This window comes from Homo sapiens, chromosome 14, assembly GCF_000001405.40.
Source record: "Homo sapiens chromosome 14, GRCh38.p14 Primary Assembly".
In the NCBI taxonomy this organism is placed as follows: Eukaryota; Metazoa; Chordata; class Mammalia; order Primates; family Hominidae; genus Homo; species Homo sapiens.
Window position 1 is genome coordinate 18,257,653 of NC_000014.9, and position 15,114 is coordinate 18,272,766.

The following is a 15,114-nucleotide window of genomic DNA, read 5'->3' on the forward strand; positions in this document are numbered from 1 at the left end:
TCTGAGAATGCTTCTGTCTAGATTTTATGTGAAGATATTTCCTTTTCTAAGTTAGGCTGCAAAGCGCTTCAAATGTCCACTTACAGAATCTACAAAAAGAGTTTTTCCATAATTCTCAATCAAAAGAAAGGTTCAACTCTGTGAGATGAACGCACACATCACAAAGAAGTTTCTCAGAATTCTTCTCCCTAGTTTTTATGTGAAGATATTTCCTTTTCCACCATAGGCCTCAAAGCACTCCAAATGTCCACTTGCAGATTCTACAAAAAAGAGGATCAAAACTGCTCGATCAAAAGAAAGGTTAAACTCTGTGAGGTGAATACATACATCACAAAGAGGTTTCTCACATTGGTTCTGTCTAGATTTTATGTGAAGATATTTCCTTTATAACATAAGTCGCAAAGGGCTCCTAATGCCCACTTGTAGATTCTACAAAAAGAGTGTCTGTAAACTGCTCAATCAAAAGGAAGTTTCAACTCTGTGAGAAGAACGCACACATCACAAAGAAGTTTCTCAGAATTCTTCTGTCTAGTTTTTATGTGAAGATATTTCCTTTTCCACCACAGGCCTCAAAGCGCTCCAAATGTCCATTTGCACATTCTACAAAAAGAGTGTTTCAAACAGCTCTTTGAAAAGAAAGTTTCAACTCTGTGAGTTGAATGCACTCATCACAAAGAAGATTATGAGAATGCTTCTGTTGAATGTTTATGTGAAGATATTCCCATTTCCAACGAAGGTCTCAAAGCAGTACAAATATCCACTTGCAGATTCTACTAAAAGAGTGTTTCAAAACTGCTCTATGATAAAGTATGTCCAATTCTGTGAGTTGAATGCAAACATCACAAATAATTTCTGAGAATTATTCTGTTTAGTTTTTATGTGAAGACATTTCCTTTTCAACCATAGGCCTCAAAGCGCTTCAAATGTCCACTTGTAGATTCTGCAAAAAGAGTGTTTCAAAACTGCTCTATCAAAAGAAAGTTTCATCTCTGTGAGTTGAATGCACACATCATACAGAAGTTTCTGAGAATGCTGCTGTCTAGTTTTTATGTGAAGATATTCCCGTTTGCAATGAAGGCCTCAAAGCGTTCCAAATATTCACTTGCAGATTCTACTAAAAGAGTGTTTCAAAACTGCTCTATAAGATATCTCCAACTCTGTGAGTTGAAGGCAAACATCACAAAGAAGTTTCTGAATGCTTCTCTCTAGTTTTTATGGGAAGATATTTCTTTTTCCACCATAGGCCTCAAAGTGCTCCAAATGTCCAATGCAGATGCTACAGAAAGAGTGCCTCAAACCTGCTCTATCAAAAGAAAGCTTCAACTCTGTCAGTTGAATGCACACATCAGAAAGAAGATTCTGAGAATGCTTCTGACTAGTTTTTATGTGAAGATATTTCCTTTTCCACCATAGGCCCCAAAGCGTTCCAAATGTCCACTTGCAGATTCTGCAAAAAGAGTGTTTCAAACCTGCTCTATCAAAAGAAAGGTTCAACTCTGTGAGTTGAATGCACACATCACAAACAAGTTACTGAGAATGCTTCTGTCTAGTTTTTATGTAGTGATATTCCTGTTTCCAACGAAGGCCTCAAAGCAGTCCAAATATACACAAGCAGATTCTACAAAAAAAGTGTTTCAAAATTCCTCCATGAAAAGGTATGTTCAACTGTGTGAGTTGAATGCAAACATCACAAAGAAGTTTCTGATATTGCTTATGTCTAGTTTTTATGTGAAGATACCTCATTTTCCACATAGGCCTCAAAGCTCTCCAAATGTCCACTTTCAAATTCTCCAAAAAGAGTGTTTCAAACCTGCTCTATCAAAAGAAAGGTTCAACTCTGTGAGTTGAATGCACATATCACAAAGAAGTTTCTGAGAATGCTTCTGTCTAGGTTTCATGTGAAGGTATTTCTTTTTCCACCATAAGCCTCAAAGTTCAGAAATGTCCACTTGCAGATTCTACAAAAAGAGTGTTTCAAAACTGCCCTATCAAAAGAAATGTTCAACTCTGTGAGTTGAATGCACACATCAAAAAGAAGTTTCTGAGAATGTTTCTGTCTAGTTTTTATATGAAGATATTCCCGTTTCCAATGAATGCTTCAAAACAGTCCAAATATCCACTAGCGGATTCTACAAAAAGAGTGTTTCAAAACTGCTCTATGATAAATTATGTTCAACTCTGTGAGTAGTTGAATGCAAACATCACAAAGAAGTTTCTGAGAATGCTTCTGTCCAGTGTTTATGTGAAGATATACCCAATTCCAACAAAGGCCTCAAAGCTCTCCAAATTTCCACTTGCAGGATCTACAAAAAGAGCGTTTCAAAACTGCTCTATGAAGTGGTATGTTCAACTCTGTGAGTTGAATGCAAACATCACAAAGAAATTTCTGAGAATACTTCTGTCTAGTTTTTATGGGAAGATATTTCCTTTTCCACCATAGGCCACAAAGCGCTCCAAATGTCCACCTGCAGATTCTACAAAAAGAGTGTTTCAAACCTGCTCTATCAAAAGAAAGGTTCAACTCTGTGAGTTAAAGGCACACATCACAAAGAAGTTTGTGAGAATGCTTCTGTCTAGTGTTTATGTGAAGATATTGCCGTTTCAAACGAAGGTCTCAAAGCAGTACAAATATCCACTTGCAGATACTACAAAAAGAGTGTTTCATAATTGATCCATCAAAAGAAATTTTCACCTCTGTTAGTTGAATGTACACATCACAAAAAGTTTCTCAGAATGCTGCTGTTTAGTTTTTATGTGAAGATATTCCCATTTCCAGCGAAGGCCTCAATGCGGTCCAAATATCCACTTGCAGATTCTTCTAAAAGAGTGTTTCAAAACTGCTCTATCAAAAGAAAGGTTCAACTCGGTGAGCTGAATGTACACATCACAAACAAGTTTCTGAGAATGATGCTGTCTAGTTTTTATTTGAAGATATCCCAGTTTCCAACGAAGGCCTCAAGGCATTCCAAATATCCACTTGCAGATTCTACTAAAAGAATGTTTCAAAACAGCTCTATGATAAGATATGTTCAACTCTGTGAGTTGAATGCAAGCAACCCAAAGAAGTTTCTGAGAAAGTTTCTAGCTAATTTTTATGGGAAGATATTTCCTTTTCCACCATAGGTCTCAAAACACTTTAAATGTCCAGTTACAGATTGTACAAAAAGTGTGTTTCAAACCTGCTCTATAAAAAGTAAGGTTCAACTCTGTGATTTTAATGCACACAGCACAAAGAAGTTTCAGAGAACCCTTGTCTAGTGATTATGTGAAGATATTCCCGTTTCCATCGAATGCCTCAAAGTGGTCCAAATATCCCCTTCAGATTCTACTAAAGGAGTGTATCAAAAGTGATCTATGGAAAGGAAGTTTCTACTCTGTGAATTGAATGCAAATATCAAAAAGAAGTTTCTGAGAGTGCTTCTGTCTAGTTTTTAAGTGAAGATATTTCCTTTTCCACCATAGGCCACAAAGCTCTCCAAGTGTCCACTTGGAGATTCTACAAAATGAAAGTTTCAAACCTGCTCTATCAAAAGAAAGGTTCAGCTCTGTGAGTTGAATACACACATCACAAAGTTTCTGAGAATACCTCTGTCTAGTACTTATGTGAAGATATTCCCGTTTCCAACGAAGGCCTCAAAGCGGTCCAAATATCCACTTGCAGATTCTACAAAGAATGTTTCAAAAGGCTCTATGAAATGGTATGTTCAACTCTGTGAGTGGAATGCGAACATCACAAAGAAAATTCTGAGAATTCTTCTGTCTCATTTTTATATAAAGATATTTCCTTTTCTACAATAGGCCTCAAAGCTCTCCAAATGTCCACTTGCAGATTCTACAAAAAGAGTGTTTCAATCCTGCTCTATCAAAAGAAAGGTTCATCTCTGTGAGTGGAATGCACACATCACAAAGAAGTTTCTGAGAATACTTCTGTCTAGTGTTTATGTGAATATCTTCCGGCTTCCAACGAAGGCTTTAAAGCGGTCCAAATATCCTCCTGCCGATACTAAAAAAAGAGTGTTTCAAACCTGCCCTATCAAAAGAAAGGTTCAACTCTGTGCATTGAATGTACACATCACAAAGAAGTTTCTGAGAATGCTCCTGTCTAGTTTTTATGTGAAGATATTCTCGTTTCCAACGAAGGCCTGAAAGCATTACAAATATCCACTTGCAGATTTTACTAAAGAGTGTTTCAAAACTGCTCTATGATAAAGTATTTTCAACTCTGTGAGTTGAAGGCAAACATTGCAAATGAGTTTCTGAGAATGCTTCAGTCTAGTTTTTATGGGAAGATATTTCCTTTTCCACCGTAGGCCTGAAAGCGCTCAAAATGTCCACTTGCAGATTCTGCAAAAAGAGTGTTTCAAACCTGCTCTATCAAAAGAAAGCTTCAAGTCTGTGAGTTGAATGTACACATCACAAGGAAGTTTCTGATAATGCTTCTGTCTAGTGTTTACGTGAAGATATAACCGATTCCAACGAAGGCCTCAAAGCTCTCCAAATTTCCACTTGCAGTTTCTGCAAAAAGAGTGTTTCAAAACTGCTCTATGAAATGGTATGTTCAACACTGTGAGTTGAATACAAACATCACAAAGAAGTTTCTGAGAATCCTTCTGTCTAGTTTCTATGGGAAGATATTTCCTTTTCCACCTTAGGCCTCTAAAGCGCTCCAAATGTCCATTTGCAGATTCTATAAAAAGAGTCCTTCAAATCTGCTCTCTCAAAAGAAAGTTTCAGCTCTGTGAGTTGAAGGGACACATCACAAACAAGTTTGTGAGGATGCTTCTCTCTAGTGTTTATGTGAATATATTTCCGTTTCAAATGAAGGCCTCAAAGCAGTAAAAATATCCACTTGCAAATTCTCCAAAAGACTGTTTCAAAACTGCTCTATCAAAAGAAAGGTTCAACTCTGTGAGTTGAATGTACATATCGCAAAGAAGTTAATGAGAATGCTGCTGTCTAGTTTTTATGTAAAGATATTCCCGTTTCCAACGAAGGCCTCAAAGCGGTCCAAATATCCACTTACAGTTTCTACAAAAAGAGTGTTTCAAAACTGCTTTATCATAAGGTATGTTCAACTCTGTGAGTTGAATGCAAACATTGCAAAGAAGTTTCTGAGAATACTTCTGTCTAGTTTTTATGTGAACATATTTCCTTTTCCACCATAGGCTCCAAAGTGCTCCAAAGGTTCACTTACGGATTCTACAAAAACAGTGTTTCAAACCTGCTCTGTCAAAAGAAAGGTTCAACACTGTGAGTTGAATGCACACAACACAAAGAAGTTTCTGAGAATGCTTCTGTCTAATTTTTATATAAGGATATTCCCATTTCCAACGAAGGCCAATAAACGGTCAAAATAGCCACTTGTAGATTCTACTAAAAGAGTGTACCAAAACTTCTCTATGATAAAGTATGTCCAACTCTGTGAGTTGAATGCAAACATCACAAAGAAGTTTCTGAGAACGCCTCTGTCTAGTTTTTATGTGAAGATATTTCCTTTTCCACCATAGGCCTCAAGGCTCTCCAAATGTCCCCTTGCAGATTCTGCAAAAAGAGTGTTTCAAAACTCCTGTAACAAAAGAGAGGTTCAACTCTGTGAGTTGAATGCACACATCACAAAGAAGTTTCTGAGAACAATTCTGTCTAGTGTTTATGTGACGATATTCCAGTTTCCAATGAAGTCCTCAAAGCGCTTCAAATATCCACTTGCAGATTCTACAAAAAGAGTGTTTCAAAACTGCTCTACCAAAAAATAGTTTCAACTCTGTCAGTTGAATGCAAACATCACAAAGAAGCTTCTGAGAATGCTTCTGTCTACTTTTTATGCGAAGATATTTCCTTTCCCACGTTAGGCCTCAAAGCTCTCCAAATTTCCACTTGAAGATTCTACAAAATGATGGTTTCAAAACTGCTCTATGATAAGGTATGCTCAACTCTGTCAGTTGAAGGCAAACATCACAAAGATGTTTCTGAGAATTATTCTCTCTAGTTTTCATGGGAAGACATTTCCTTTTCCAGCACAGGCCTCAAAGTGCTCCAAATGTCCATTTGCAGATTCTACAAAAAGTGTTTGAAACCTGCTCTATCAAAAGAAAGGTTCATCTCTGAGTTGAATGCACACATCACAAAGAAGTTTCTGAGAATGCTTCTGTCTAGTGTTTATGTGAGATATTCCTGTTTCCAATGAAGGACTTAAAGTGGTCCAAATATCCTCTTGCAGATTCTATGAAAAGACTGTTTAATGTCTGCTTTATCAAAAGAAAGGTTCAACTCTGTGAGTTGAATGCACAAATCACAAAGAAGTTTCTGAGAATGCTTCTGTCTAGTTTTTATGTGAAGATATTTCGTTTTCCACCATAGGCCACAAAGCTCTCCAAAAGTCCATGGACAGATTCTACAAAAAGAGTGTTTCAAAGCTGCCCTATCAAAAGAAAGGTTCAACTCTGTGAGTTGAATGTTCACATCACAAAGAAGTTTCTGAGAATGCTGCTGTCTAATTTTTATGTGAAGATACTCCTGTTTCTGATGAAGGCCTCAAAAAGTTCCAAATATTCACTTCCAGATTCAACTAAAAGATTGTTTCAAAACTGCTCTATCATAAGGTATGTTCAACACTGTGAGTTGAAGGCAAACGTCACAAAGAAGTTTCTGAGAATGCTTCTGTCTAGTTTTTATTGGAAGATATTTCCTTTTCCACTGTAGGGCTTAAATCGCTCCAAATGTCCACTTGCAGATTATACAAAAAGAGTGTTTCAAACCTGCTCTATCTAAAGAAAGCTTGAAATCTGTGAGTTGAATGCACACAGCACAAAGAAGTTTCTGAGAAAGCTTCTGTCTAGTGATTATGTGAAGATATTCCCGTTTCCAATGAAGGCTGGTAAGCAGTCCAAATATCCGCTTGCAGATTCTGCGAAAAGAGTGTTTCAAAACTGCTCTATGATACAGTATGTCCAAATCTGTGGGTTGAAAGCAAACATCACAAAGAAGTTTCTGAGAATGCTTCTGTCTAGTTTTTATGTGAAGATATTTCCTTTTCCACCATAGGCCTCAAGGCGCTCCAAATGTCCACTTGCAGATTCTGCAAAAAGAGTGTTTCAACCTGCTCTATCAAAAGAAAGGTTAAACTCTGTGAGTTGAATGCACACAGCACAAAGAAGTTTCTAAGAATGCTTCTGTCTAGTGTTTATGTGAAGATATTCCCGTTTCCAACGAAGGCCTCAAAGCGGTCCAAATATCCATTTGCAGATTCTACAAAAAGAGCGTTTAAAACCAGCTCTATCAAAAGAAAGGCTCAACTCTGTTAGTTGAATGTACGCATCACAAAGAAGTTTCTGAGAATGCTGCTGTCTAATTTTTATGTGAAGATATTCCCGTTTCCAATGAAGGCCTGAAAGCATTCAAAATATCCACTTCCAGATTCTACTAAAAGAGTGCTTCAAAACTGCTCTATGATAAGGTATGTTCAACTCTGTGAGTTGAAGGCAAACATCACAAAGAAGTTTCTGAGAATGCTTCTGTCTAGTTTTTATGTGAAGATATTTCCTTTTCCACCATAGGCCTCAAGGCGCTCCAAATGTCCACTTGCAGATTCTGCAAAAAGAGTGTTTCAAACCTGCTCTATCAAAAGAAATGTTCAACTCTGTGAGTTGAATGCACACATCACAGAGAAGTTTCTGAGAATTTTTCTGTCTGGCTTTTATATAAAGATATTACCTTTTCCACCTTAGGCCTCAAAGCTCTCAAAATATCCGCTGGCAGATTCTACAAAAAGAGAGTTTGAAAGCTGCTCTATGATAAGGTATGTTCAACTCTGTGAGTTGAATGCTCACCTCATAAAGAAGTTTCTGGGAATGCTTCTGTCTAGTGTTTATGTGAAGATATTCCTGTTTCCAAAGAAGGCCTCAAAGCGGACCAAATATCCAATTGCAAATTCTACAAAAAGAGTGTTTCAAAGCTGCTCTATCAAAAGAAAGGCCCAACTCTGTGAGTTGAATGCACACATCACAAAAAAGTTTCTGAGAATGCTTCTGTCTAGAGTTTATGTGAAGATATACCCGTTTCCAACGAAGACCTCAAACTGGTCCAAATATCCACATAGAGATTCTACAAAAAGAGGGTTTCTAAACTGCTCTATCAAAGGAAAGGTTCAACTCTGTGAGTTGAATGCACACATCACAAAAAAGTTTCTGAGAATGCCTCTGTCTAGAGTTTATGTGAAGATATACCCGTTTCCAACGAAGACCTCAAACTGGTCGAAATACCCACATGCAGATTCTACAAACAGGGGGTTCTTAAACTTCTCTATAAGAAGAAAGGTTCAACTCTGTGACATGAATGTACACATCACAAAGTAGTTTCTGAGAAAGCTTCTATCTAGTGATTATCTGAAGACATTCCCATTTCCAACGAATGCCTCAAAGCGGTCCAAATATCCACTTGCAGATTCTACTAAAAGAGTGTGTCAAAACTGCCCTATGATAAAGTATCTTCAACTCTGTGAGTTGAATGCAAACATCACAAAGATGTTTCTCAGAATGATTCTGTCTATATTTTATGTGAGGATATTTCCTTTTCGGCCATAGGTCTCAAAGCTCTCCAAATGTCCACTTGCAGATTCTACAAAAACAGTGTTTCAAGACTGCTCTATCAAAAGAAAGGTTCAATTCTGTGAGTTGAATGCACACAGCACAAAGAAGTTTCTGAGAAAACTTCTCTCTAGAGATTATGTGAAGATATTCCCATTTCCAAAGAAAGCCTCAAAGCGGTCCAAATATCCACTCGCAGATTCTACTAAAAGAGTGTTTCAAAACTGCTCTATGATAAAGTGTGTCCAACTCTGTGAGTGGAATGCTAACATCACAAAGAAGTTTCTGAGAATGCTTCTGTCTAGTTTTTATGTGAAGATATTTTCTTTTCCACCATAGGCCTCAAAGCGCTTCAAATGTCCACTTGCAGTTTCGGCAAAAAGAGTGTTTCAAACCTGCCCTATCAAAAGAAAGGTTCAACTCTGTGAGTTAAATTCGCACGTCACAAAGAAGTTTCTGACAATGCTTCTGTCTAGTGATTATGTGAAGGTATCCTATTTCCAAAGAATGCCTCGAAGCAGTTCAAATATGCAGTTGCAGATTCTACAAGAAGAGTGTTTCAAAACTGCTCTATCAAAAGAAAGGTTCAACTCTGTGAGTTGAATGTATACATCACAAAGAAGTTTCTGAGAATGCTTCTCTCTAGTTTTTATGTGAAGATGTACCCGTTTCCAATGAAGGCCTCAAGGCTTTCCATATATCCACTTGCAGATTCTACTAAAAGAGTGTTTCAAAACTGCTCTATGATGAGGTATGTTCAACTCTGTGCGTTGAAGGCAAACATCACAAAGAAGTTTCTGAGAATGCTTATTTCTATTTTTTATGGGAAGATATTTATTTTTCCACCATAGGCCTCAAAGCGCTTCAATTGTCCACTTGCAGATTCTGCAAAAAGAGTGTTTCAAACCTGCCCTATCAAAAGAAAGGTTCAACTGTGTGAGTTGAATTCGCACATCACAAAGAAGTTTCTCAGAATTCTTCTGTCTAGTTTTTATCTGAAGACATTTCCTTTTCCACCATAGACCTCAAACCACTCCAAATGTACACTTGCAGATTCTACAAAAAGAGAGTTTCAAAACTGCTCAATCAAAAGAAATGTTTAACTCTGTGAGATGAATGGACACATCATAAAGTACTTTATCAGACTGCTTTTATCTAGATTTTCTGTGAAGATATTTCCTTTTCTACGAGAGGTCACAAAGTGTTCCAATTGTCCACTTGCATATTCCACAAAAAGAGTGCTTCCAAACTGCTCAGTCAAAATAAAGGTTCAACTCTTTGAGATGTAAGCACAAATCACAAAGAAGTTTCTCAGAATTTTTCTGTTTAGTTTTTATGTGAAAATATTTACTTTTCCACCATAGGCCTCAAAGCGCTCCAAATGTCCACTTGCAGATTTTACAAAAAGAGAGTTTCAAGACAGCTCAATCAAAAGAAAGTTTTAACTCTGTGAGATGAATGCACACATCAAAAAGAAGTTTCTCAGATTCATTCTATCTAGATTTTATGGGAATATATTTCCTTTTCTAACATAGGCTGCAAATCACTCCAAATGTCCATTTGCAGATTCCACAAAAAGAGTGTTTCCAAACTGCTTAATCAAAAGAAAGGTTCAACTCTGTGAGATAAACATCACAAAGCATCACAAAGAAGTTTCTCCGAATTCTTCTGTGTAGTTTTGATGTGAAAATATTTCCTTTTCCTCCACAGGCCTCAAAGCGCTCCAAATGTTAACTTGCAGATTCTACAAAAAGAGAGATTCAAAACTGCTCAATCAAAACAAAGGCTTAACTCTTTGAGATCAGTGCACACATCACAAAGAAGTTTCTAAAAAAGCTTCTGTCGAGTTTTTATGTGAAGATATTTTGTTTTCCACCGTAGGCCTCAAAGCGCTCCAAATGTCCACTTCCACATTCAACAAAAAGAGAGTTTCAAAACTGCTCAATCAAAAGTAAGAGTTAACCCTGTGAGATGAATGCACTCATCCCAAAGAAGTTTCTCAGATTGCTTCTGTCTAGATTTTATGTGAAACTGTTTCCTTTTCTAACATAGGCTGCAAAGCGCTCCAAATGCTCACTTAGAGAATCTACAAAGAGTGTTTCAAATATTCTCAATCAAAAGAAATGTTCAACTCTGTCAGATGAATGCACACATCACAAAGAAGTTTCTCAGAGTTCTTCTGTCTAGTTTTTATGTGAAGATATTTCCTTTTCCACCATAGGCCTCAAAGCACTCCAAATGTCCACTTGCAGATTCTACAAAAAGAGAGTTTCAATACTGCTCTATCAAAAGGAATGTTTAACTCTGTGAGAAGAATGCACACGTCACAAAGAGATTTCTCAGATTGCTTCTTTCTAGATTTAATGTGAAGATATTTCCTTTTCTATCATAGTCGGCAAAGCGCTCCAAATGTCCACTTGCACATTCTACAAAAAGAGTGATTCCAAACTGCTCAATCAAAAGGAAGGTTCAACTCTGTGAGATGAATGCACACATCACAAAGAAGTTTCTCAGATTGCTTCTGTCTAGGTTTTATGTGAAGATATTTCCTTTTCTACCTTAGGCCCCAAAGCGCTCCAAGTGTCCACTTGTAGATTTTACAAAAAGAGTGTTTCCAAACTGCTCAATCAAAAGGAAGTTTCAACTCTGTGAGATGAACACACACATCACAAAGAAGTTTCTCAGAATTCTTCTGTCTAGTTTTTATGGGAAGATATTTCCTTTTCCACCATAGGCCTAAAAGCACTCCAAATGCCCACTTGCAGATTCTACAAAAAGAGAGTTTCAAAACTGCTCAATCAAACAAAAGTTTTAAACCTGTGAGATGAAAGCACACATCACAAAGAAGTTTCTCAGATTGCTTTTGTCTAGATTTTATGTGAAGATGTTTCTTTTACTACCATAGGCCTCAAAGCGCTCCAAATGTCCACTTGCAGATTCTACAAAATAGAGTTTCAAGACAGCTCAATCAAAAGAAAAGTTTAACTCTGTGAAATGAATGCACACATCACAAAGTAGTTTCTCAGATTGCTTCTGTCTGAACTTTATGTGAAGATATTTCCTTTTCTACCATAGGCCACAAAGTGCTCAAAATGTCCACTTGCAGATTCTACAAAAAGAGTGTTTCCAAACAGCTCAATCAAAAGAAAGGTTCCACTCTGTGAGATGAACGCACACATCACAAAGAAGTTTCACAGTATTCTTCAATCTGGTTTTTATGTGAAGATATTTTCTTTTCCACATTGTCCTCAAACCGCTCCAAATGTACTCTTCCAGATTCTACAAAAACAGAGTTTAAAAATGCTCCATCAAAAGCAGTGTTTAAGTCTCTGAGATGAATGCACATATCACAAAGAATTTTCTCATATTGCTTCTGTCTAGATTTTATGTGCAGGTATTTCCTTTTCTAACACTGGCCGCAAAGCGCTCCAAATCTCCACTTGCAGATTCTGCAAACGGAGTGCTTCCAAAATGCTCAATCAAAATGAAGGTTCAACTCAGTGAGATGAACACACACATCACAAAGAAGTTTCTCAGAATTCTTCTGTCTAGTATTTATGTGAAATTATTTCCTTTTCCACCATAGGCCTCAAAGCGCTCCAAATGTCCACTTGCAGATTCTACAAAAAGAGAGTTTCAAAACTGCTCAACCAAACTAAAGTTTTAACTCTGTGAAATGAATGCACAAATCACAAAGTAGTTTCTCAGATTGGCTCTGTCTGAATTTTATGTGAAGATATTTCCTTTTCTATCATAGGCCACAAAGTGCTCCAAATGTCCACTTGCAGATTCTACAAAAAGAGTCTTTCCAAACAGCTCAATCAAAAGAAAGTTTCAACTCTGTGAGATGAACGCACACATCACAAAGAAGTTTGTCAGAATTCTTCTCTCTAGTTTTTATGTGAAGATAAATTCCTTTTCCACCGTAGGCTTCAAAGTGCTCCAAATGACCATTTGCAGATTCTACAAAAAGAGGGTTTCAACACTGCTCAATCAAAAGAAAGGCTCAATTCTGCGAGATGAACGCACATATCACAAAGAACTTTCTCAGAATTCTTCTGTTTTGTTTTTATGTGAAGATATTTCCTTTTAAACCATAGGCCTCAAGGTACTCGAAATGTCCACTTGAAGATTCTACAGAGTATTTCAAAACTGGTCCTTCGAAAGAAAGATTCAACTCTGGGTGATGAATGCGCACATCACAAAATCTTTCTCAGAACACTTCAATATAGTTTTTATGTGAAGATATTTCATTTTCCACCATAGGCCTCAAAGCGCTCCAAATGTCCACTTGCAGATTCTACAAAAAGACAGTTTCAAAACTGCTCAATCAAAAGAAATGTTTATCTCTGTGAGATGAATGCACACATCACAAAGTTGTTTCTCAGATTACTTCTGTCTAGATTTTATGTGAACATATTTCCTAGTCTACCATAGGCCGCAAAGTGCTCCAAATGTCCACTTGCAGATTCTGTAAAAAGAGGGTTTCCAAACTGCTCAATCAAAAGAAAGTTTCAACTCTGTGAGATGAACGTGCCCATCACAAAGTTTTTCAGAATTCTTCTGTCTACTTTTTATGGGAAGATATTTCCTTTTTCACCGTAAGCCTCAAAGCACTCGAAATGTCCACTTACAGAGTCTACGAAAAGAGAGGTTCAAAACTGCTCAATCAAAAGAATGGCTTAACTCTGTGAGATGAATGCACATATCACAAAGAAGTTTCTCAGATTGCTTCTGTCTAGATATTATTTGAAGATAATTCCTTTTCTACCACAGGCCACAAAGCGCTCCAAATGTCCACTTGCAGATTCTAAAAAAGAGTGTTTCCAAAATACTCAATCAACAGAAAGGTTCAAATCTGTGACATGAATGCACACATCACAAAGAAGTTTCTCAGAAATCTTCTGTCTATTTTTATGTGGAGATATTTCCTTTTCCACCAGGGGCCACAAAGTGCACCAAATGTCCAAATTCAGATTCTACAAATAGAGTCTTTCAAAACTGCTCAATCAAAAGAAAGGTTCAACTCTGTGAGATGAATCCACACATCTCAGTGAAGTTTTTCAGAATGTTTCTGTATAGTTCTAGTGTGACGATATTTCTTTTTCCACCATTGCCTTAAAGCGCCAAACATGTCCACTTGCAGATGCTACAGAAAGAGTGTTTCAAAGCTGCTCTTGTCTGATTGCTTCTGTCTAGATTTTATGTGAACATATTTCTTTTTCTACTGTAGGCCACTAAGTGCTCCAATTGTGCACCTGAAGATTCTTCAAAAAGTCTGTTTCCAAACTGCTCAATCAAAAGAAAAGTTCAACTCTGTAACATGAAGGCACACATCTCAAAGAAGTTTCTCTGAATTCTTCTGTCTAGTTTTTATGTGAAAATATTACATTTTCCACCATTGCCTCAAAGCACCAAAAATGTCCACTTGCAGATACTACAGAAAGAGTGTTTCAAAGTGGCTCAATCAAAAGAAAGTTTCAACCCTATGAGATGAATGCACACATCACATAGAAGTTTCTCAGAATGCTTCTGTCTAGTTATTATGTGAAGATATTTCGTTTTCCACCATAGGCATCAAAGCGCTCCAAATGTCCACTTACAGATTCTACAAAAAAGAGTGTTTCAAAACTGCTCAATCGAAATTAAGGTTCCACTCTGCGAGATGAATACACACATCACAAAAACTTTGTCAGATTGCTTCTGTCTAGTTTTGTGTGAAGATATTTCCTTTTCCACCACAGGACTCAAAGCTCTCCAAATGTCCACTTGCAGATTCTACAAAAAGAGTGTTTCAAAACTGCTCTAACGAAAGTTAAGTTCAACTCCATGAGATAAATGGCAACTCCGTGAGATAAATGACAAATAAACTTGTCAGAATGCTTCTGCCTAGTTTTAATGTGAAGATATTTCCTTTTCCACCATAGGCCTCAAAGCGCTCCAAATGTCCACTTGCAGATTCTACAAAATGAGAGTTCTCAAAACTGCTCAATTAAAATAAAGTTTCAGCTCTGTGAGAGGAATGCGCACATCACTAAGCAGTTTCACAGAATGCTTCCATCTAGTTCTTAAATGAAGATATTTCCTTTTCCACCATAGGCCAAAAAGCGCTCCAAATGTCCATTTGCAGATATTACAAAAAGAGTTTTTCAAAACTGCTCAATGTCTGTTCATGTACTTCCGCCACTTTCTGATGAGGTTGTTTGTTTTTTTCTTGTAAATTTGTTTGAGTTCATTGTAGATTCTGGATATTAGCCCTTTGTCAGATGAGTAGTTTGTGAAACTTTTCTCCCATTTTGTAGGTTGCCTGTTCACTCTGATGATTGTTTCTTTTGCTGTGCAGAAGCTCTTTAGTTTAATTAGATCTCATTTGTCAATGTTGGCTTTTGTTGCCATTGCTTTTGGTGTTTTACACATGAAGTCCTTGCCAATGCCTATGTTCTGAATGGTAATGACTAGGTTTTCTTCTAGGGTTTTTATGGTTTTAGGTTGAACGTTTAAGTCTTTAATCCATCTTGAATTAATTTTTGTG

General features: G+C 37.1%; 2 annotated features.

Moving 5' to 3' along the window:
* Positions 1,770 to 2,661: an enhancer, noted in NCBI's record as "OCT4-NANOG hESC enhancer chr14:19035899-19036790 (GRCh37/hg19 assembly coordinates)". NCBI's record gives its function as "activates a minimal SCP1, AML or CMV promoter by ChIP-STARR-seq in primed H9 embryonic stem cells {active_cell/tissue: H9 hESC(primed)}" and the evidence as "EXISTENCE:reporter gene assay evidence [ECO:0000049][PMID:30033119]".
* Positions 3,687 to 4,552: an enhancer, noted in NCBI's record as "OCT4-NANOG hESC enhancer chr14:19037816-19038681 (GRCh37/hg19 assembly coordinates)". NCBI's record gives its function as "activates a minimal SCP1, AML or CMV promoter by ChIP-STARR-seq in primed H9 embryonic stem cells {active_cell/tissue: H9 hESC(primed)}" and the evidence as "EXISTENCE:reporter gene assay evidence [ECO:0000049][PMID:30033119]".